Source organism: Homo sapiens, chromosome 1, assembly GCF_000001405.40.
Source record: "Homo sapiens chromosome 1, GRCh38.p14 Primary Assembly".
In the NCBI taxonomy this organism is placed as follows: Eukaryota; Metazoa; Chordata; class Mammalia; order Primates; family Hominidae; genus Homo; species Homo sapiens.
This window is the reverse complement of record NC_000001.11, coordinates 93,523,815-93,543,177: the sequence shown is the minus strand read 5'-3', so window position 1 is coordinate 93,543,177 and position 19,363 is coordinate 93,523,815. Positions and strand designations below refer to the sequence as shown.

The window sequence follows — 19,363 nt, the reverse complement described above, 5'->3', positions numbered from 1 at the left end:
TACTTAAATCTTTATATATACTCCAGAAATTGATGATGCCTGTCACTATTCATTTTCTTTTCAAAATGGTTATTCTAAGAATAAGGCCAGGCGCAGTGGCTCACGCCTGTAATCCCAACACTTTGGGAGGCTGAGGCGGGTGGATCACCTAAGGTCAGGAGTTTGAGGCCAGACTGGAGCCTGGCCGACATGATGAAACCCTGTCTCTACTAAAAATACAATAAATTAGCCAGGCGTGGTGGCAGGCGCCTGTAATCCCAGCTACTCGTGAGAGGCTGAGGCAGGAGAATCACTTGAACCCGGAAGGCAGAGGTTGCAGTGAGCCAAGATCGCGCCATTGCACTCCAGGCTGGGCGACAAGAGCGAGACTCCGTCTTTTAAAAAAAAAAAAAAAAAAAAAAGGTAAAGAAAAGAAAAAAGAATATAAATATTCAAATTTGTTAAAGTGATGCTAAAAGGAGCTCTCAAAACAAATACGATCTTGCTCTTTGGGCCACTTATGCCTGTAACATATGCTAAATAGCTTTATTTCACCATGTGTAAGAATGAGTCACTTACTTTCAGAAAAGAGAAAACTCACTCCTAGGATGAGCTATAATTAAATGTAACATTTAATTAATAACAGAATCCCTAGCCTCTTTCCCCAGTGGCCTGTAGATTATGGATATTCAACAAGCTTGCTAGAAAAAAGTAGGGCATCCTAAGTGTTGCTTTTTTTTTTTTTTTTTTTTTTTCATTTACCAATCACCAGAAACAAGGATATCAATCAACCCAATCTGGCCTAAATAAATCAATGGTGAAATTTCCTTTGTTGAGTTCCTTTAGATTTACTGGTTAATTTGCAACATAAATTTGTCATATTTAATCTACTTTGGAGTTGAAGGTTTTTTGTAGAGATAGGGTCTCATTCTGTTGCCCACAATGGAATGCAGTTGAGTGATCATAGCTCTCATGGCTCACTATAGCCTCGAACTCCTGGGCTCAACCAATCCTCCCGCCTTAGCCTCCCAAATAGCTGGGATTACAGAAAAGGAGTACAAGTTTTGAAAACTAGTATATATATATGCCAAAAATAAACTTCTTAATTTAGATTTTTAAAAATATTTCTAAAAATCTTGAAAAATTATTGAATAAAATGAAGAAATGCATTTCAACATACTGTGGAGTTTTTTTTTGTTGTCAAAATTATGATAAACTCACAATAACCTACAAGTAAATCTGCCAGAATTCCACTTATCCCTTATCAAACCCTGTTCTCAAATTTATGAACAGTAAACACTGAGGCACTTACATTTCTAATATCCCATTTGACATTGGAACTCTATTCTTACATAGAATATGAGAATTAAACTTAACTTTATTTCCTATGGATGTTCAGAAGACCTCTGGGGCATTTAACAACCTCTCTTACTACAAAGGAATTTATAAAAGGCTGATTCCAACAATGTAAAAAAGAGTGGTCTATTTTCCAGTAGCTTCCTATACAATAATTTTGGGGTTAGTTCCTAATGTAGATCCATTAATTTGTTTGAAATAAACATACCAAGGAACATCCCAAACACACACACACCTTCCCCGCCCCGCCCCACCCCCCACACAAACACACACAGGATATTTAGATCATTTGTGTTTCTATTCTCCTTCAATAGCACAGAAGAACCAAGGACTAACTCCATAATGATACTAGTTTGAAATTTTTCTTTCTTTTTTTGGAAAAATCTAATGACTCTGGGGATAAAACTACAAATCAAATTTATACGATTTTTTAAAGGCTATTAAGCAAAATAATATTTGCTAAATTTTCCTTCTGCATAACAAACTGTGGCTCTACCATGTAATCTTTAAAAAATGTTTAACCACAATTTTACGCTCCTCTGTAACATGACAAGGACTCCATTCAATGACATTTAAGAACTTAATGGGTTGATGACAATTAACCACATTTTCTAATCTTATGACATCAAGAGTACTGGCATATGCTGGACTATGAAACTATAAAAAGAAAAAACACACAAGGTGAAAACGTGGGATGTAATTTACCACTTGTTTTGAATTAAACAAAACAATGTTTTGAGATTACTTAATGTTGGCACAGTATATAGATCAGCACATAAGGCTTACCATCTTCACCGACCACTGAATAGTTCAATGGAAAACAGAAAGAAATGGTAAATTATTCACAGGAAACCATAATACAGAAGATGCAATAGCCTATTCTTTTTCACAATACTAAAATAAATCACGTACATTTCACAATCCAAACAATTATGCCAGAAAAACCATTTTAAGCACATTTTGGGAAAGTAAATTACTTGCAAAAAAAAAAAAAAAAAGCATACATTGATGATAATGGGCAGATATTTTCTATGTTTAACTAAAACTTAAAAATAAACATTCTACCTGTAATCATGCATTTTCTTTTAAAGTGAATTTTATGTAAGTGGATTTCACTTCTATAGCTCTTTATTCTCAAATTACTAATATTTGAAAAGTTGAATATGAACTCTAAGATTAAACATTTAAAAAGAAATCTTATGTGAAATATTAAAAAATAGAATGTTCTTTCCAGTGTGTTAAAGAAAACACTATTACCTACATTTTTATACTTCAAAGTACTGTTTGAATTTAAATATACCATGGTTAGATGAGGGTAACATTTTTACTTTCATTTTAAAATCTTTTAAAATGTACATTTAAAACACATTATTTTCAAAATAGTGAGTTATCCAGATTCAAGTTTCCCGTACACATTTCCTAATATATACAAGTATATAGGTTGAATTTTGCTTTAAAAATATAGCTTCCATTTTTCAGGTTTTATTTTAAAATCCATATGCTTGAACAACACTAAAAACATAACTTCAATTTTTAGAAAATTGATTAAAATGTATTCTTTCTGAAAATATGAAATGACACAGATTCTGAAGAGACCAACCATAGTGCTCTTGTACAACAATACTTTATATATGTATATATATGTGTGTGTGTACAGATATAGATATGTATATGGATTTGGATATATCTCCCACATTCTGTGGGTCAATAGGATTCTGCAACTGGCATGGCATCTATCTAGCATCCCAACTACACACCCACACACATACACACACACGGTGACCCAGAAAATGCAACGGAGCTTTATAAAGTTAATCTTCACATTCATCTCAATTAGTGAGCTGCCTGTAAAATTTTTACTTTTCCCTATTTTCTAAATCACATGTTTTAAGAGAAGGTGTTGGGGAGATGTCAGATAAAAAATTCACATTAAAAATATGAATGAATTTTAATAAATAATCTGACAAAAATATCTACCCCTTATCTCTGATGAGTTGGTCACTGCTTATGCATTATCGTTCCAAATTAAGCTTAACATTCTTTAGACTGTCAGTATTTTTGAGAAACAAAAAAATTTATTTTGCTATTAAAAAACTCCTGGTAAGGAAATAGAAAGGTTTGAAGAAAGATATTCACAGTCTTTCAAAAATGTTATTAAATGAAATTATACATAGGACAAGCAACAAAATATTTGAAGTATATGAATTTGACTTATCTTTCAATAATTTTCACCAGTGAAATTTCTAAGTGATGCAAATTATCTAATTTCTATATTAATATTTTAGAGAAAACATTAAGATAATTATAGCTGAAATATCAAATGTTTCAGCTATTTGTTAATCTAGTCTTACTAAATTATCAATTGGAAATTTGATAATTAGATTTGGGGATATACAAAGCTCAAGTTCTTTGTAAAAATATTAGACATATGTTCTGTGTAAGGTTTTAAAGTAATACATGTTCCATACAAAAATATCTTATTCTCATATACAATTATATACTCATAAACTAGAAAACTTCATATACTCAACTACATTTAATAAACACAAGAGAGCTAAAAAGGAAATCATTTAGACAATTAAAATTATTAGGTGTATTTCATTTTAAATAGGACAAAATTTCATGAGAACTACTCTGGAGAGATAAAAGCTTAGAAAAATGTCTCTGAAAGTCTATAAAGTCATAAATATTCAGAGAGAAAACCTGGACTCATTGCTAAATAAATAACTTAAAAAACAGTATCCAATAAAACTCAAAGTAGCAATAGAGTAAAAATTATTAGTTTGTTTTTAAGTAGTTAAGTTCGAGTATATCCTCAAATATCCATTAACGGTTAGAACTTAATGTCACAGAAGGAAATTATAGAACTTCCTCCCTCAGAAAAGATCTGCTGATACCACTGTCAAACTCAAAAACATTTTTCATATCCTTAATTTATACTGGGATCTGTACACACGAGTTTTTCTTTAAAAAAGGAAAAGAAAAAGAAAAAATCATAATTTTTAAGAAGTTATTTAGGAAAAGCAATGTGCAGCAAATATCGCACAAAACAGGAGTTTCTGAACTGAATGGTACAACTCATCAGTTTTAAGAAACCTCTAGACTTATTTTGTAATCTTAATAGACTGAAAATTCCATGTAAAAACATATAAGCAGGCTTACTAAAGCTTACCTTCTTCTTTTTGAATTTTTCTATATTGAGAAAATTCTTATGTGGAAAAAAAATCTCTATAGGTTAATTTTTGAGATAAATATCTAGTAAATACCAAACGGTAATCAAAAGAAAAAAATTTCTCAACCTCCAAGTTGTAATCCACTTTCTTCCCTGCTCTGTCCTCTAAACCCCTAGTTGGTTTGTCATATTTTCTCTTTCACACTGCTTTCTTCTCTGGAGTGGTATAGCTAATAATAAATCTGGGAGGGGATTTCAGCCTTCTAAAACTAGATCCCTACAAAAATAACTTATGCTATCTTACGTAAATAACTTATGAATATCTATAATTTGTGAGAAACAATAAGCAAATAGTTTTAAGTTTTACAGTTATAAAATTCTACCTACAAACTTATTCAAAAAAAAAAAAAATAAGATGACACATATTTAAGCTTCTCTCCAGGGTTCATAGCTCTAATTGCCTGAGTTTTTTTTTTCCTTAGAATTACACTTACCTCGCATCTCTATGACTACATGTGGAAAATATGACTATGACTATATAGTGTAAAATATGACTATTTTAACTGGGCCTGGTAGACTCATTATATAGGATATACAAATGATTACAAAAACGTGACTACTACATAGTAATTTCTCATGATTTATGTAACAATATAATATTTAGTGTAGTCTAAATTGCCAGAGGAGTAGTGGTTCATGCCTGTAATCCCAGAACTTTGGGAGGCTGAAGTGGGAGGACTGCTTGAGCCCAGGAGTTTGAGATCAGCCTGGGCAACAGAGCAAGACCACATCTCTTTAAAACAATTTTAAATTAAAAATAAGTAATAAATAAACTGCCATAGGGAAGCAACATGGGAATGAGTTCTAGCCTTGTAACTCAGGCAATAGAAATCCCAAATATGATTTCTCAAAGTCTTTCAAACAAGTGTTCAGAGCTTTTAGAAGTGATTATAGGCATGCCTACAGTTATCATACAGACTCATCCATGGGGACTTTTCAAAATGTCATCAATTACCTACCATCCACATATAGAATTAGGTAAGACAGATGCAAAGAAGTTCATGTCACTGGAGGAAAAAAGAAGTCCAGAAAATGACATAATACACTGGGACATTTCTGCTGCATTAGTAACATCAGTTAAGTTTGTCATAATGTTTTAAAGCAATATAGATGTAATCTTGTCCCTAAACTAATATATCTTGTTCTATAGGAGGCCAAAATGCAATGTGAAGACAGAAAGGAAGAAAAATAGAAGGGAAGGAGGGGTAAGAAGAGAGAAAAGAGGAGAAAGGAAGGGAGGGAAGGGTCTAAGAAGGAAGAACGAAACAACCTAATTTTAGATTATTATTGTTAGGCTTCTTACGACATTGAAAGACTGATTTCTCATCTATGGGTTAATGAACCTATGTTTTTCAAATGTCCCAACAAATGCTCAAATCTTATAAATGAGTCTAAATTACAGGTTATGAATATTAAAAGCACACCCTTAAAATCAAACATAAACAAGAAAAATTAGCCTCACTAACATTAAATAGAGTAACACTAATGTATTTATTAGTAGTATAACAGTTGTTGCTAAACAACAGTTTAGTAAACATTACTCAGTGATATCTAGTATTTTTGTAGGCTTTACAATTTACAATCTATTTTCTAATATATTATCTCAATTTGATCTACAACAATCTTGATATTTAAAATGCCTATCTTTAATTTTTTTTAACTATTGGAAACTGTTTTATACATCTGAAAATAAGCAGGGCAATTAAAATTGAGCTTGACATTTTATTGTCAATAAAATAATATTTTATAAAATTGGCAGGTGAAGTCAGCATTGGTGACAAATTATTACAAGAGTAACTCCAGTGACAAATTACTGAAAGTCTTAAAAATGTAAATACATTACAAGACAATGGTGAACATATGATTTCACATAAACAAAAAAATAGCTAAAATATGATTGTACCCAGCACCCTCTTTATAATACCATTCTTTTATGGTTGAGCATTTCAAATGTTATAAAGAGGAGTTGTTTTTAACTTGAGGGCAGCTATTCTTAATTCTGTGGTGTTTTTAAACTGTGTATTTATAGGAGAGAGCCTTATAATGAGGGTGGAGAGTATTAAAAGCCACACTACACACACAATAGGCCATCATGCATTTTAACCCATTATTAAACTTACCCCTCTTTTGAGGCTTCTGAAAGAAGGAATTCTGGGCTTCCCTGTTTTTATTTCATTCATACAATAATGCACGGGCTCAATGGAGAATGTGAGAAACTGGGACCCATTAGGAGTACTGGATGTGAATAAACTAGTAGGGGTTAAGGGTGGGGACTGTGGCTAATATGGAAATAAAGAAAGGAATCAATAAGCCAAATGTGCATAGTTTTCTCCTAAATGAAAATTCTATTTTTGGCAACATACTTTTCACAAAATATATCTCAAATAAAGTTTTCTGTAAAAATATTATGAGAAAGTAAACATAGTTTTGCCCAAAACTATTATTTAAAAAAATCAAATTTACTTTTTAAAATGTACCATTTCACTTGATTACTTTTAACATCGGACAAATTAAAAACACAGAGTTCACAAATTATATTGTCAAAGAAAGCAATATGGCCTAGATTTTAAAATTCTCTTCTAATTTCTAGAATATTAGCATTACCATGGTACTTGTCAAGAAATAAAGCTGGCAGCTACACCTAAAGTTATCTAAACAGGTAATGTCGCACATAAAATATTAAAACTGTAACTGATTATTACCAAAAATAGGCAAAAAAATTTTCATTACATTCATGGCTTTCCTCTCAGGCTGTTTCTATTTCATCCTTATTTCACCTTTTTTTTTTTAATTCCAGTATTCCTTGTACATCTAAGCTCTTCTAGCTACCTCGATCTGACTTAAAACAGGTCTCACCTCTCAACTTCTTGACTGGACAATATGATTAAAAGCATAAATAAAGCATGAGTTAATTATAATTGTGCTTTTAAAGATACAGGTATATTATAATGAGTTAAATTTTAATTTTATCTACACTCATATGCCATGATCAAAAAATGAATTAAAATAATCAAGTATACTTTAATAAATACAGCACATCAGATTAAAAGTATTTCTCTATTCTCCTTACTAATAAGACACGAGTACAACCACTTAATTGATAAGAAAGACAAAGCACCCATCTATTTCATTTGCTCACATGCTGACCTAGATCTATCTAAAATAAAGAGCACATCAGAAGGTGGGTTCTAACAAGAAGTTAAGAGTGAGATTCTCTTACCAAACTAGAAATTGTTTTAAACTTCAATTAACCAAGACTGAACCTTTCCCATTAAAAACTCATATGGATGATAAAAATAATTTTAGTAGTAGGATCTATAAAACCTAACTTGACATGTATTATGGCTGTGGTCATTCATTCCATTTGAGAATTCCAATTTTAGTGCTATTTTAGTTAGATCATGTTTCCTTAAAAATTCTGATGGAAACTACATACAAATGAAACTTCAAAAGCATATAACTTAACTAGATATTAACAACTTTGTTAATACTCTTACCCATTATTAAGCGGTAGTCAAATGTTAAATCCATAAATAACTGTTACTGTTAAGGTATTCCTAATATAAGTGAAAGGTTAACTGAATCATTCAAATTGAAAATATTTATTCTCCATTAATGGTAAATCATTTTGCATTCAATACCCACATTGTTTTAGTTGGTACACTTAAACTGATTAGCATATAGGAATTTTATGACTTTTACCTTTGGCTTCTTTCCAAAGAGCCACAATTTGCCCTTGGCCTTTCCTACTGTGGTTTTGGCATCCATCTTCCCACTCTCCTGTTTGGATGCACTGATAGTCCCATCAGAAATGGTTCTATATATATGTTGACTGTAATCTTCAAATGGAAAGTCTCCTGGAGGTTCAAAACCAGATTTGAAGGAGTCTACCACCATTTGAGAGTCCTATACAAAAGAAACTAGGTTTTAAAACTGTTTCACTTGCTCATAATTCTACATCAGCTTTCATAACTTTTTCAGTACAAAAAAACAACAAATATAAGTTTAAATAAATAATTCCACAATAATCATTAAGGTAAATAATTTATTCCCATGAATGTGTAACAAACTCAAAGTATTTTAATCCCAAAAGAAAAATATACTTGCAAATTACAACTTAATTAATTTATAATATTCATAAAATGTTTTTACTTGGTAGCTTTAACCACCTGAAATTCATCTGAAGACTACTTAGCTGAAAAAGACCTAACTGACAAAAAGAATACAGAAAGAGGTTATTAACAAGTAGAAATTCTGAGAAGTTTCAAAGGAAAAAGGCTTTTTGCTTTAAAAGATAGATGTCAACAAAGAAGCTAATCTTTGGAATGAGGAAAGAACATCTAATTGTAAAAGAGAGTAAAAGATGAGTAGGAAAGGCTTTCTAACTCATCCAACATGGGAAAAGATAAATAAATTAAATATATACTGTGGAATGTTAACAGAGCAACAGGGAAAAGATCTCATAAACACTACTGAGTGCAAACAACATTTGAAAGTTTAATACCATGTATTTAAAATTTTTAAACTCACATAAATATTGTTTTTAGACATACATACCTCTACCTGAATGCTTTAGTGATACCTTAAACTCATTATTTTCAGAGTATCTCTACAAATTCCTCCCCACCCCTAACAACAACCTCTCTTTTGTTGCCTATTTCTGTTAACAGTACATTTTGCCCTTCATTTAGTCAAAAGTCATCCTTAAGTCATAGCTTACTTTTGTCAGTAATGCTACCCTCAGCAATAATTTGCTAAAGGGTAATTAGAGAGAAGAGGGCTGTAATGATATTGTATAAACTTGTATCCAGCCATGCTGAAAGCCAAAAATCCTCTTTTCTAAATTTAAGTGAGAATTCTATTAGCTGTAACAGAAAGGATCCTCACTAATATAATATCTACTTGATAGGTTCATGAAGACTAAAATATGTGACACATATCTGATATCCTGCAAACACCAGTTCTCTTCTCTTGCCACTGCCTTTCCTCAGTTTCTGCCAACCATGCTTTTTGATCACTCAATCAACATTTACTGAGATAAAAGACCCTAGTCCTTAATCAAGATACAATGTGATTACCTATCCTCAAGGGGAGGAGGGCTATGCTGTTTCATCTGCACATAATGCCCTCCTTCCTCCTCCTCATTGGTCATCACTCCATATGCTACCCACATTTCTTGATCCAGCTCAAGTGCTAAAGGCAACTCTAACCACATACTTCTCTAAATTTTCACTAAACTAATATAATAGTATAACACAATTTGTAACACACAGTTCCTAGGTTAGACTCTTTGATAAGAACTGAAAACTTAGTGGGAGAAGAGAGTTAGAAATCTTTTTTTTTTTTTTAAGAAAGAATTAGAACTTTTGCATGTAGAATGAATCTCAGAACTCAAAGGAATCTATTGCAAGACATTCTTCTACAGAATATAATTTAGAACCACACATCAGATTACTTTATCCCTTTCTCAACTCATTTCACTAACTTAAACTGCACACCTAAACCAAACAGATGCATTCAAAGATAATTATTTAGCACTTACTCTTCTTTCATCAACTGATTTTGCTGCAAGAATCATTCCTTCCAAACATTTTGAAATGATGGGAATAACTTTGCGTTCTGAGTCAGCAAATCCTCTGTAACACTCACTGAGTTTAATAGTCCTTCGTTCGTCCATTTCTTGTAGTTGCTAATAATCAAGAATTTTTTTAAAAAGAGAAAACTGAATTTTTCAATCATTCTAAAGGAGTTCAATTAGTGATCCCCCATCAAAAATTAAATATTTCTACCCTCATAGTTACACTGTTGTTAATACCTTTTAACAAGTGCTATTGACTTATAATACTTAAAACCTGGGACATGCTAAACAACAAAAGAAAGAAAAAAAATAGTAAGGCACTTAGTATTGTTTTCCTAAAACCAGATGACACTGGGATTCTAGCCTTCTAAAAGGACCCCTTACTGGCTATCAGCTCCCTGCCCCATAGCACTCCCACCTTTTACTATTCAATCAGAGTAGTTCTTGTTTATGCTTCCAGAAAACATTTCATTTGATGACAAAATTCTGGTGCTTTTTTTTTTTTTTAAAGCAACTGGCCCATAACATATACAAGACTGAGACTTTTTTTTTTTTTTTTTTTTGAGGCGGAGTCTCGCTCTGTCGCCAGGCTGGATGGAGTGCAGTTGCGCGATCTCGGCTCACTGCAACCTCCACCTCCCAGGTTCAAGCAATTCTCCTGCCTCGGTCTCTCAAGTAGCTGGGACTACAGGCACGTGCCACCATGCCCAGCTAATTTTTGTATTTTTAGTAGCGATGGGGTTTCACCATGTTGGCCAGGATGGTCTCAATCTCTTGACCTCGTGATCCACCTGCCTCGGCCTCCCAAAGTGCTGGGATTACAGGCGTGAGCCACTGCCCCCGGCCAAGTCTGAGACTTCTAACCTCAAGTTAATTCAGGATACTTTGGTAAGACTTGGCTGGACCAACAGTCCATACTAGTTGTTTATCAACAGGTACCCAGACCTACTGCAGTGTACACCTCAGAGCTGGGGATACGTGAGGAAAAACAGGAAGTCACAAGCTCAAAGTGGCACATATAGAATCCTCACAACTGAAAATTCACTGGCACATGCCACTAGGAAATATGTTGGAACACATAAAGTCCAATAACTTAAAGGCATTTTTTTTTTGACATATCCTATTTGCCAGCACTGACCTTGCTGTTTCATTGACAGCAGTTACACTCCTTGTCTCCCCAAACTCCCACAGCCTGGGACTTTGAGACCTGCATTTTCACAGAATTGCTCCATAGAAAGGTCCAAATCCAAGTATCAGGCCCAAAACACAAAAGGTAGTTTATCTCCACAAGTTATAGTTTCCCCAGAATATGAAGACTTAACTACTAAGCCTAGAAAAGCATCACAGTGAAGACTGGCAGGCTTGGCCCTCTGGATTCAATGACCAGAATTCTGGTCCCCACTCCAGTTCATTATCTCTCACTGTGCTTTCTTTGTATTTCCAACTTGCCTTATAAAGAAGAAAAAGTGTACCCGGGCTGACACTCTTCCCACAGAAGCTCTGCTCGTTGAGATAATAACTCATCAACACTGCTTTACTAAATCCCTTTTCTGTAATTTCTCTTCTTTCTAGAACAGGCAATTAAATAATTTAACCCTCATGAAAATTCTGAGGTCTTTTTTACCTGAGGCTGTTTGGCAACTGTTATCATCAAGTGATGACAGACAGGATTTATAAGCAAGCTCAAAGTCTGAATTACATTTATCATCTAACAGAGCCAGCATGATAAGCAGGCAAAAACCATGCTAGCAAATATATTTTGTAAGATTTATTTCTGCCATCTGGACTGATGCCAATGACTCTGGTTTGGTATAAAAATGCTACATCTCAATTCTAGGTGAGCAGATTACAATATACAAATTCAATTAATTCTCCTTTGTCATGTCAAAATACTTAAAGTATTTAAATGTATCTTACAAATGTCATTGTTTTAGTAAACTGTTTATAACACTAATAGTAGATACGTAGGAAAATGTGTGACTTAAAAGTTAGAAAACACTTGTTTTCAAATCTATAATCATAAAGGAATCTCTCACCCCAACCCTGATGTCTAGTGAATCTAGAAAGATTCTGATGTCTAAGACTTACAAGTTTTATATTTAAACACCAGTTAATCTAAAACTAGATTAACTTCATATCTAAGATTTACCTTGTAAATCTGAGGAATCACTACATAAAAATGTTTATGTTGTTCTCCATTAAAGTTTTGTAATTGTGCAGCATATTCATTTTTATTTTCATCGGCCATATGCGTACGCAGATTCAACTGCTGTTTGGCCTAGGGGCAAAATGGTCGAAATTATTATCAACAACAAAATCACAGCAATTCACTTTTTTGAAAATTATACTAAAACTAGATTTTATCAATGAAGAAGCCAACACCTGACATCAAAAGAATAATGACGTGGCATAACTTTTTTGAACTATTAATATCATTTAAAATATATTTTATATTTAAAGACACCTGCAGATCTTACTGTCAGAGTGGTCTCCTTATTACAATATTCTTCCCTCTCTCATTACAATAGTATTCCCTGATAGCAATAAGACATTCTAATATAGACTCTCCTTACCAAATCCAGATAAAAAAACAAACAAATGAAAACATTATAGCTTGAAACAGTGTGCTTTTAATCAGAAGAGAAAAACAGGTAGCTTTAGGAATATTTTCAGATTGTTAAAAAAGTTAACAGTAAAACATTTATGATCCAACTATATCCAACTAAAATATGGAACTTAAATCACAGTGAAACTAAATAATAATATGATTGTTGAATAATGCAACATTCAACAGTGTTTCCACCAATGTGTAGAACCACAGATACTTTAAGGAATGCTTATTTAGAATACAGTTCTGTTCCTCTTGATCTCTTGTACAAAGTCAAATTAAGGAATGCTTATTTAGAATACAGTTCTGTTCCTCTTGATCTCTTGTACAAAGTCAAATTACAACAGTTATTCTCTAACTAATTATTACCCCATCAACACATCTTAGCTTTCTAACCTATTTTGGAATAGGCTAAAAACTCAATCCCAGTAGCAACTACGTCTTTCCTCTAAATTTGAATGCAGCTAAGATATTGTAATAAATTAACATATATTACTTTCTCAGACCAATACGTATAATTTAAAGTTGGCAAATATTTGTATATTTTAGACTTAGATACAGTGTATCTCAAGTAAATCCTAATACTGTAGTCATACAAATGTCGTGACTACTTTCCTTATGCAAATAATAATATTTTGACATTAAAGTTGGTTTGGAGTATTTCTTACCTTTTCAACATCTGCCTTGGTTGCATTAGTATCATTATCCAATCTTTCATAACTCTGTTGTGCCTTTTCTGCCTCTCTACATTCTCTTTCAAACTTCTTTTTACTCTGTTAAAAAAATTAAAATATCACACTGAGAAAATAAAATCAGGCTAACTTCATTTAAGAAATAACTTTAGAGAGCATTAGGAGAAATAACTAACATAGATGACGGGTTGATGGGTGCAGCAAACCACCATGGAACATGTATACCTATGTAACAAACCTGCACGTCCTGCACATGTATCCCAGAACTTAAAGTATAATAATTTTAAAAAGAGAGAAAAAAGAAATAACTTTAAAATGTGCCACTGTGTATTGTGTGGAAATGAACTGCGCACTAAGTAAAATTTGTCCTTTCTAAATTAGAAAATAAATTTTACTATTACAACCAATCCACGTTCCTTAAATATCAGACATTAATTACAGACTATGAGGAAAAATAACATAGGCATGACTGAGTTAATATTTATTATATATCTCACTCAAAAAATGTGTGTTTTATAATTTTTTTATAAAAAATATAAGTCCTCATCTTCAGGAGGACTTTTTTGGTTTGGTGTTTTTTGTTCAGTTGGTTTGTTTTGGCATTTATTTTTATACTTTTTTGGTGAGATCCAATGTAGCTTGGGTATATGGAGCGTCCCTCCAAAGTGGTTTTATATTGTTTCTTCCAGGTGTCCCACGAAGAACATCAGCCCAGACCCCAAATCTTTTTAAATTTTATTTCATTCAAACTATTATGACTTTGTAAAAACTATTCACAACTGAGCCATGTAAAATATATGTCATATTACATTTTCTTTCCTACATAATTTTTTGATATTCTGGAGTTAATACATGTCTTCATTTTTTCAATTTGCTTAGTTTCCAATGCATAATTCAACCAGTTTTTTCCAGTTCTTTAAAACTGACTGCAGTTAATTCTAACACATTAGGAATTCTATTGATTTTATTTTCTTGATAAATCTTTCCCAAAGGCTTCTAAACTTGCTGGAATTTGAACTCATTACCAACTAGGCCTAATGCATAGTTGTTACCTTAGCATTTCCCTCCCCCATCAACCTGTGGATTCATTTCACCTCCATCTTTGTTTGGATGTCCTATTTCCTAGTTGTATGCTTTCTCCGTTCTTGATTCACTTCCTCATTTTGCTAGAACACATTCAGCAGCAGCCTCCTAAAAGGTCTGCAGGAGATAACTGAATCTCCATGGCTAAAAATGCATTTACCATCATTTTTAATTGACAAAATTTGGCTGGATATAGAACTCTAAGTTGGAAATCATTTTCCTTCAAAAACTTAAAAGTATTGCTCCACTATTCTTCTGGCTTCCTGTGTAACTATCCTGTCTATTCCATTCTGATTCCTGACCCATTGTATAAACCATGTTTGTTTGTTTGGGGTTTTTTCTCCCTGGAGGGTGGTAGAATCTTCTCTCTCTCCAAAGTGTTCGAAATTTCAAGAGATGTGGACCCACTGTGCTGAGCACATGGGATATCCTTTCCATCTGGAAATTCATGTCTTTCAGTTCTGGGAAAACTTTCTTGAGTTATTTTTGTCCTTTTCTATGTTTTGTTCCTTTTCTATGTTTTCTCTTTTCTAGTATGTTTACTATTTTGGAAATGAACCTACTGGATGAGTCTCCTAATTTTCCATATTTTCAATGTCTGTCATTTTGCTCTACTGGGGTATTTATTGAACTTTATCTTTCATTTTTTTTCTAGTGGGCTTTTTTTTCTACTATCATAGAGTTATTTTTTGTTCTTTATATGTTTCTTTTAAAATAATACCTTATTTCATGGATGTAAAATTTTCTCTATTCCCTTTGAGAATATTAGCTAACAGCTGTAAGTATTTTCCTTGTTTGTTTTTGCATTTTAATTTTCATTTCCTTTCATAGTCACATTGCCTTCTTTCCTGCATATTAGTTCTGGTCCCTCATGTGCACATTAGATGTCTTCTTTAAATATCCTGGGATCCTTGGATATCTGCTCTTATTTAAAAAGCCATTGAAAGCTCCACCGATCGGGCTTTACGGATTATGATATTTTCCTCTAGGGTGACATGGCCAGGGAGTTCGTTTCCTTGGAAAAACCTGGCAGCAGTTTTTATAAGCTTTTTCTCCCTAAATGATTAGATTACCCCGAAAGACTTCCAATTTCTTGCCTGGAAAATACGCACCTTGCAACCTGTGCTCTGAGAATTCCTCAGAAGAAGCAAACAGGGGATCTCAATATTTTGTATTTACCTAACCTCCTTTATCGAACCAGTTACAATGTTAATTTCTTACCCTGGAAATCCAAGCCCTTAGCAAGTACCAGGTCCAGGAAACCATTATACCTCAAACACCCTGTCCCCATTTTTCCAAATGCCACTTATCAGCTCAGACACCTACTGCTCTGGATTTGTTTACCCATAGTTCCCTAGCAGTTAGCAATTTCCCTTTCTTTCAAGTAACTAAGAGTTTAAAATACAATTTAAAACTACAATAGCTGTTATATCAAGCCATTTGTAGCCAAGAGGTTTCGTAGTTCAGTTTGTAATACAGTTACAACCAGATAGGCCTATAACTTACATCAAATAAATGCGCTCCAGGATTTTTTCAAATTTATTTAAATGTAGGCTTTATTTTGTACAGGTATTTTGATTAGTATGAGACACCAAATGAGGCACTTGTAATTTACTCAAAGCCCCTAAAATATTTAAATACTCATACATAAAATCACTTTGCTATGAAAATTAAGCTTCCACATTTCATTCTCTGAAACTGAGTTCAGAGCTGTGTTTTCCAATCAAGTAACTATAGGCTACTAATTCTGGTACAAACTGAGGCTACTTATGTACAAAAGTATTTTTATATTTGGTATCTTATTTGTGGGAAAACACCTACCTAATAATTCCTTGCAAAAGCAAAAGAACTAGTAGTACAATAATATTAAAAATGCTCCTTCCCTGAAAGATAATATAACATTATACAAGACAGAAATATACTCCAGAAAAGATTGTTTTTCCCTTCATCCTTGGTGTGGCAGACGAAGTACAGCCACTTCTACTCCCCTACTCTTGCTTAGCAGAGCCTGCCCCGCCCAGTACAGAGGCAGAAAACAGCTAATACTTGCTCTCCTAGACTCCCCACAGCCAGGGCAGAGGTAAGTAATCTAATTCTGTCAAAGGCATCCAGAGGAAATTTGTTGGGGACTTTCTGGGAAAGTTTTCCTTCCCTGATAAAATGGGATAGTTGGAAGTGAAATGCTGCCTTTTTCCCACCTCTGGATGAAACTGAATGAGGATATCGTGTTTAGCTCTTTAAGCCTACTGCTGACCTTAAGGAGACATGGCTGAGGAAAAGAGCACCTGGTCAAGATGGCAAAGTAGACAGATGAAAAGGAGATGGAGCCTGGTGACAACCGTGGGCTACTGACTAACTATGGAACTGCTCCATTTCTGAGCTCTGCTCTTATAAAACTGTATGCTCTGTTACTTGGAGCCTTGTAACTGATGGACCTCGCATCTCTGATGCTTCTATCTTCTTAATCTCTGACCATTCCTTTAATACCTCCTTTACAGGCTCTTCTGTCCTGATCTTAAATGCCAGTACTGCCTACTTTATTCATCCCAAGGTTAATAACTGTCTTTTAATTTTTTTCCTCAATTTTTAATACCCTGTCACTAATTCAACCTGTCCACCAGTTCTTTACATCACCTCGCAATTATTTCAAACGTGTTAGGAATTCTACAATTTCATTTTCTTGACTAAAGAGGAAGACATGGAACTAGGAAATAGAATCCTACACTTGTTTCTACATATTAAACAGAAATTATATTGGTTAGTTTCCCTCACTAGACTGCAAGTGCTACAAAAACAAGAACCATGTCATACTTACTTTTGTACCTCCAGAGTACATGTCAAGGATACTTTTCAATAAACACAAGTAGAGCTGAACTCACCTTTTTTTATAGCATTGTTAATGCCTTAAAGAAATCTCTCCTACATTTTTGATGCTTCTTTCTTTCTTATGACCTCTAAAACTTTTGCTTAACAACGGTCAATTGTTCTAAAGGCAAGTTGGCACCTATTAAGAATAATTTGTGCCAACACCAATTTTTAAAGGAACCAATGACTCATGAATGTAGGAGTATGTTATTTTGTGCAAATGAAAACACACACACACTCATTAGGTGGCAGATACTAAGGATGATAGTTAAGGCAATTTAAAACTTAATCAACATAAATACTTGGTGAAGTCTTGCTGAAACCAATTAGAAAATCAAAATGAAAATGAAAACATTATTAATATACCTAAGAACTCTCAATCAGCACTGGTGATTAGAATATCACATCAATGGTAGTTACATAGTAGAAATGTAATCAAAGTTTTGAAAATGCATTTTTAAAAGGGAAAGAAAACAGGCTGAAAGCAATGGAAGTATATACATGAGATTTTTAATCTCAAAGTACTTTTTCTAACAAGCACAGGCTAAACTGATTAATTTAACATGGAAAAACTCCCTTCGGCATAATTTTCAAGGAATACGCAGTGTCCACCAGAGAAATATGCTAGTAAAGAGTAAACTGTTCGATAACTTGAGGGTCCAAAAAGAGTATCTTATACTACAGAATATCATTTAATAGAGCTTTTTTTTTTTTTTGACTCTAATCCCATGACACAGATTATAGAGCATTTTATGTAAAGGCAACTGCAGTGTTCTACGTGAACATCTTGTTTTACAAATTATATACGAGAGCATTTAAGAAAAACCACATGAGCAAGTGCCTTGGGGAAATTTTTAAGTAAATAATTATTATGCCTTTATAATTTTGCCCTACAAAGTACTTTATTTCCTACAATGGGAAGGTTTCTATTAGCAGGCCAATATCAGGAGCATTTACAAAATTATACAATGACTGAACTGGAAGAAACATTTCATATCATCTCGTTCACTCTCTTCATTTTTCACATGCTAAAAATGAAGTCAAGAGACATCAAGTGTTAAGTTAAAGGTAGAAAAAGAACCTTGATTATTCTCAGTCCTCAGGAAATAGTCTTCTAAGATATATCTCCTTTTCCCTCTTACTTCTATCCTCTATTAATACTTTATAGTAACTACTTTAAAGTAAAAAAAAAAAAAAAAAAAAGAATCTCCTTAAATGTTCACAATGATTGAAGATTACAGAGTTCTTAAGTATAGAGTTATAAAGGACAACAAGAAAAATGACAAAATGACCTCACATCCTCCATTTACACTTTATTGACTATTATACAATAATACCAATGTCAAATTATTAATAATACACTGAGAAACATTAAACTCAAATAGATATGAAGCATAAAAGTATTTAGGGCTAATCTAGTCTACAAGATTTTATGTTAACCATGAAAATGTCATAACTCACATTATCCATCTGTTTCCAGCACATGTCAAGATATTGTTGAGCTTTTCGTCCTTCTTGCAGATGCTGAAGATTATAACCACGGCCAAAAAAAATAAAAATAAAAAATAAAACAAAAACAAATAAAAATAATTACATTTAAACACTAAAGTCTAAAGTCCCCAAAAGGCTTTTCACTTTATTTTTTTCAAGGTACTAATTATATAACTTTACCAAGACTTAGGAAGAAAGTAATGCAAAACTTCCTAAAAATGCATTTTATAGGATATTGTCTTAACACTTTACATATAACCTTGAAAACAGATACAATTTCCAGAAAAATAATGATTGTCTTGAATAGTAGATGACAAACATTTTTTATACAAGGTCAGATAAATATTGCAGGCTTTTTAAGCCACACAGTCTCTGTGACACTCAACTCTGCTAGTGTGATGCAAAAGCAGCCACAGGCAATATAAAAGTCAATGAATGTGGGTCTGTTCCAATAAAATTTTATGTATGGACATTAAAAA

General features: G+C 33.0%; 1 protein-coding gene across 3 annotated transcripts in view; it reads right to left on the bottom strand.

Annotated features, from left to right (window-relative positions):
• FNBP1L (formin binding protein 1 like) overlaps nt 1-19,363 on the bottom strand; it is a 106,544-nt gene that overhangs the window by 11,484 nt on the left and 75,697 nt on the right. For 2 of the 3 annotated variants that reach the window (NM_001024948.3, NM_017737.5), the window contains exons 5-9: nt 18,855-18,917; nt 13,422-13,526; nt 12,295-12,423; nt 10,110-10,256; nt 8,270-8,473 (exon numbers count right to left, since the gene is read on the bottom strand). In NM_001024948.3, the coding sequence (NP_001020119.1) occupies nt 8,270-8,473; nt 10,110-10,256; nt 12,295-12,423; nt 13,422-13,526; nt 18,855-18,917 (648 nt within the window). Of the gene's footprint in view, nt 1-2,121; nt 2,137-6,687; nt 6,847-8,269; nt 8,474-10,109; nt 10,257-12,294; nt 12,424-13,421; nt 13,527-18,854; nt 18,918-19,363 lie in introns of all 3 variants that reach the window. The other variant, NM_001164473.3, reaches the window with a different exon arrangement.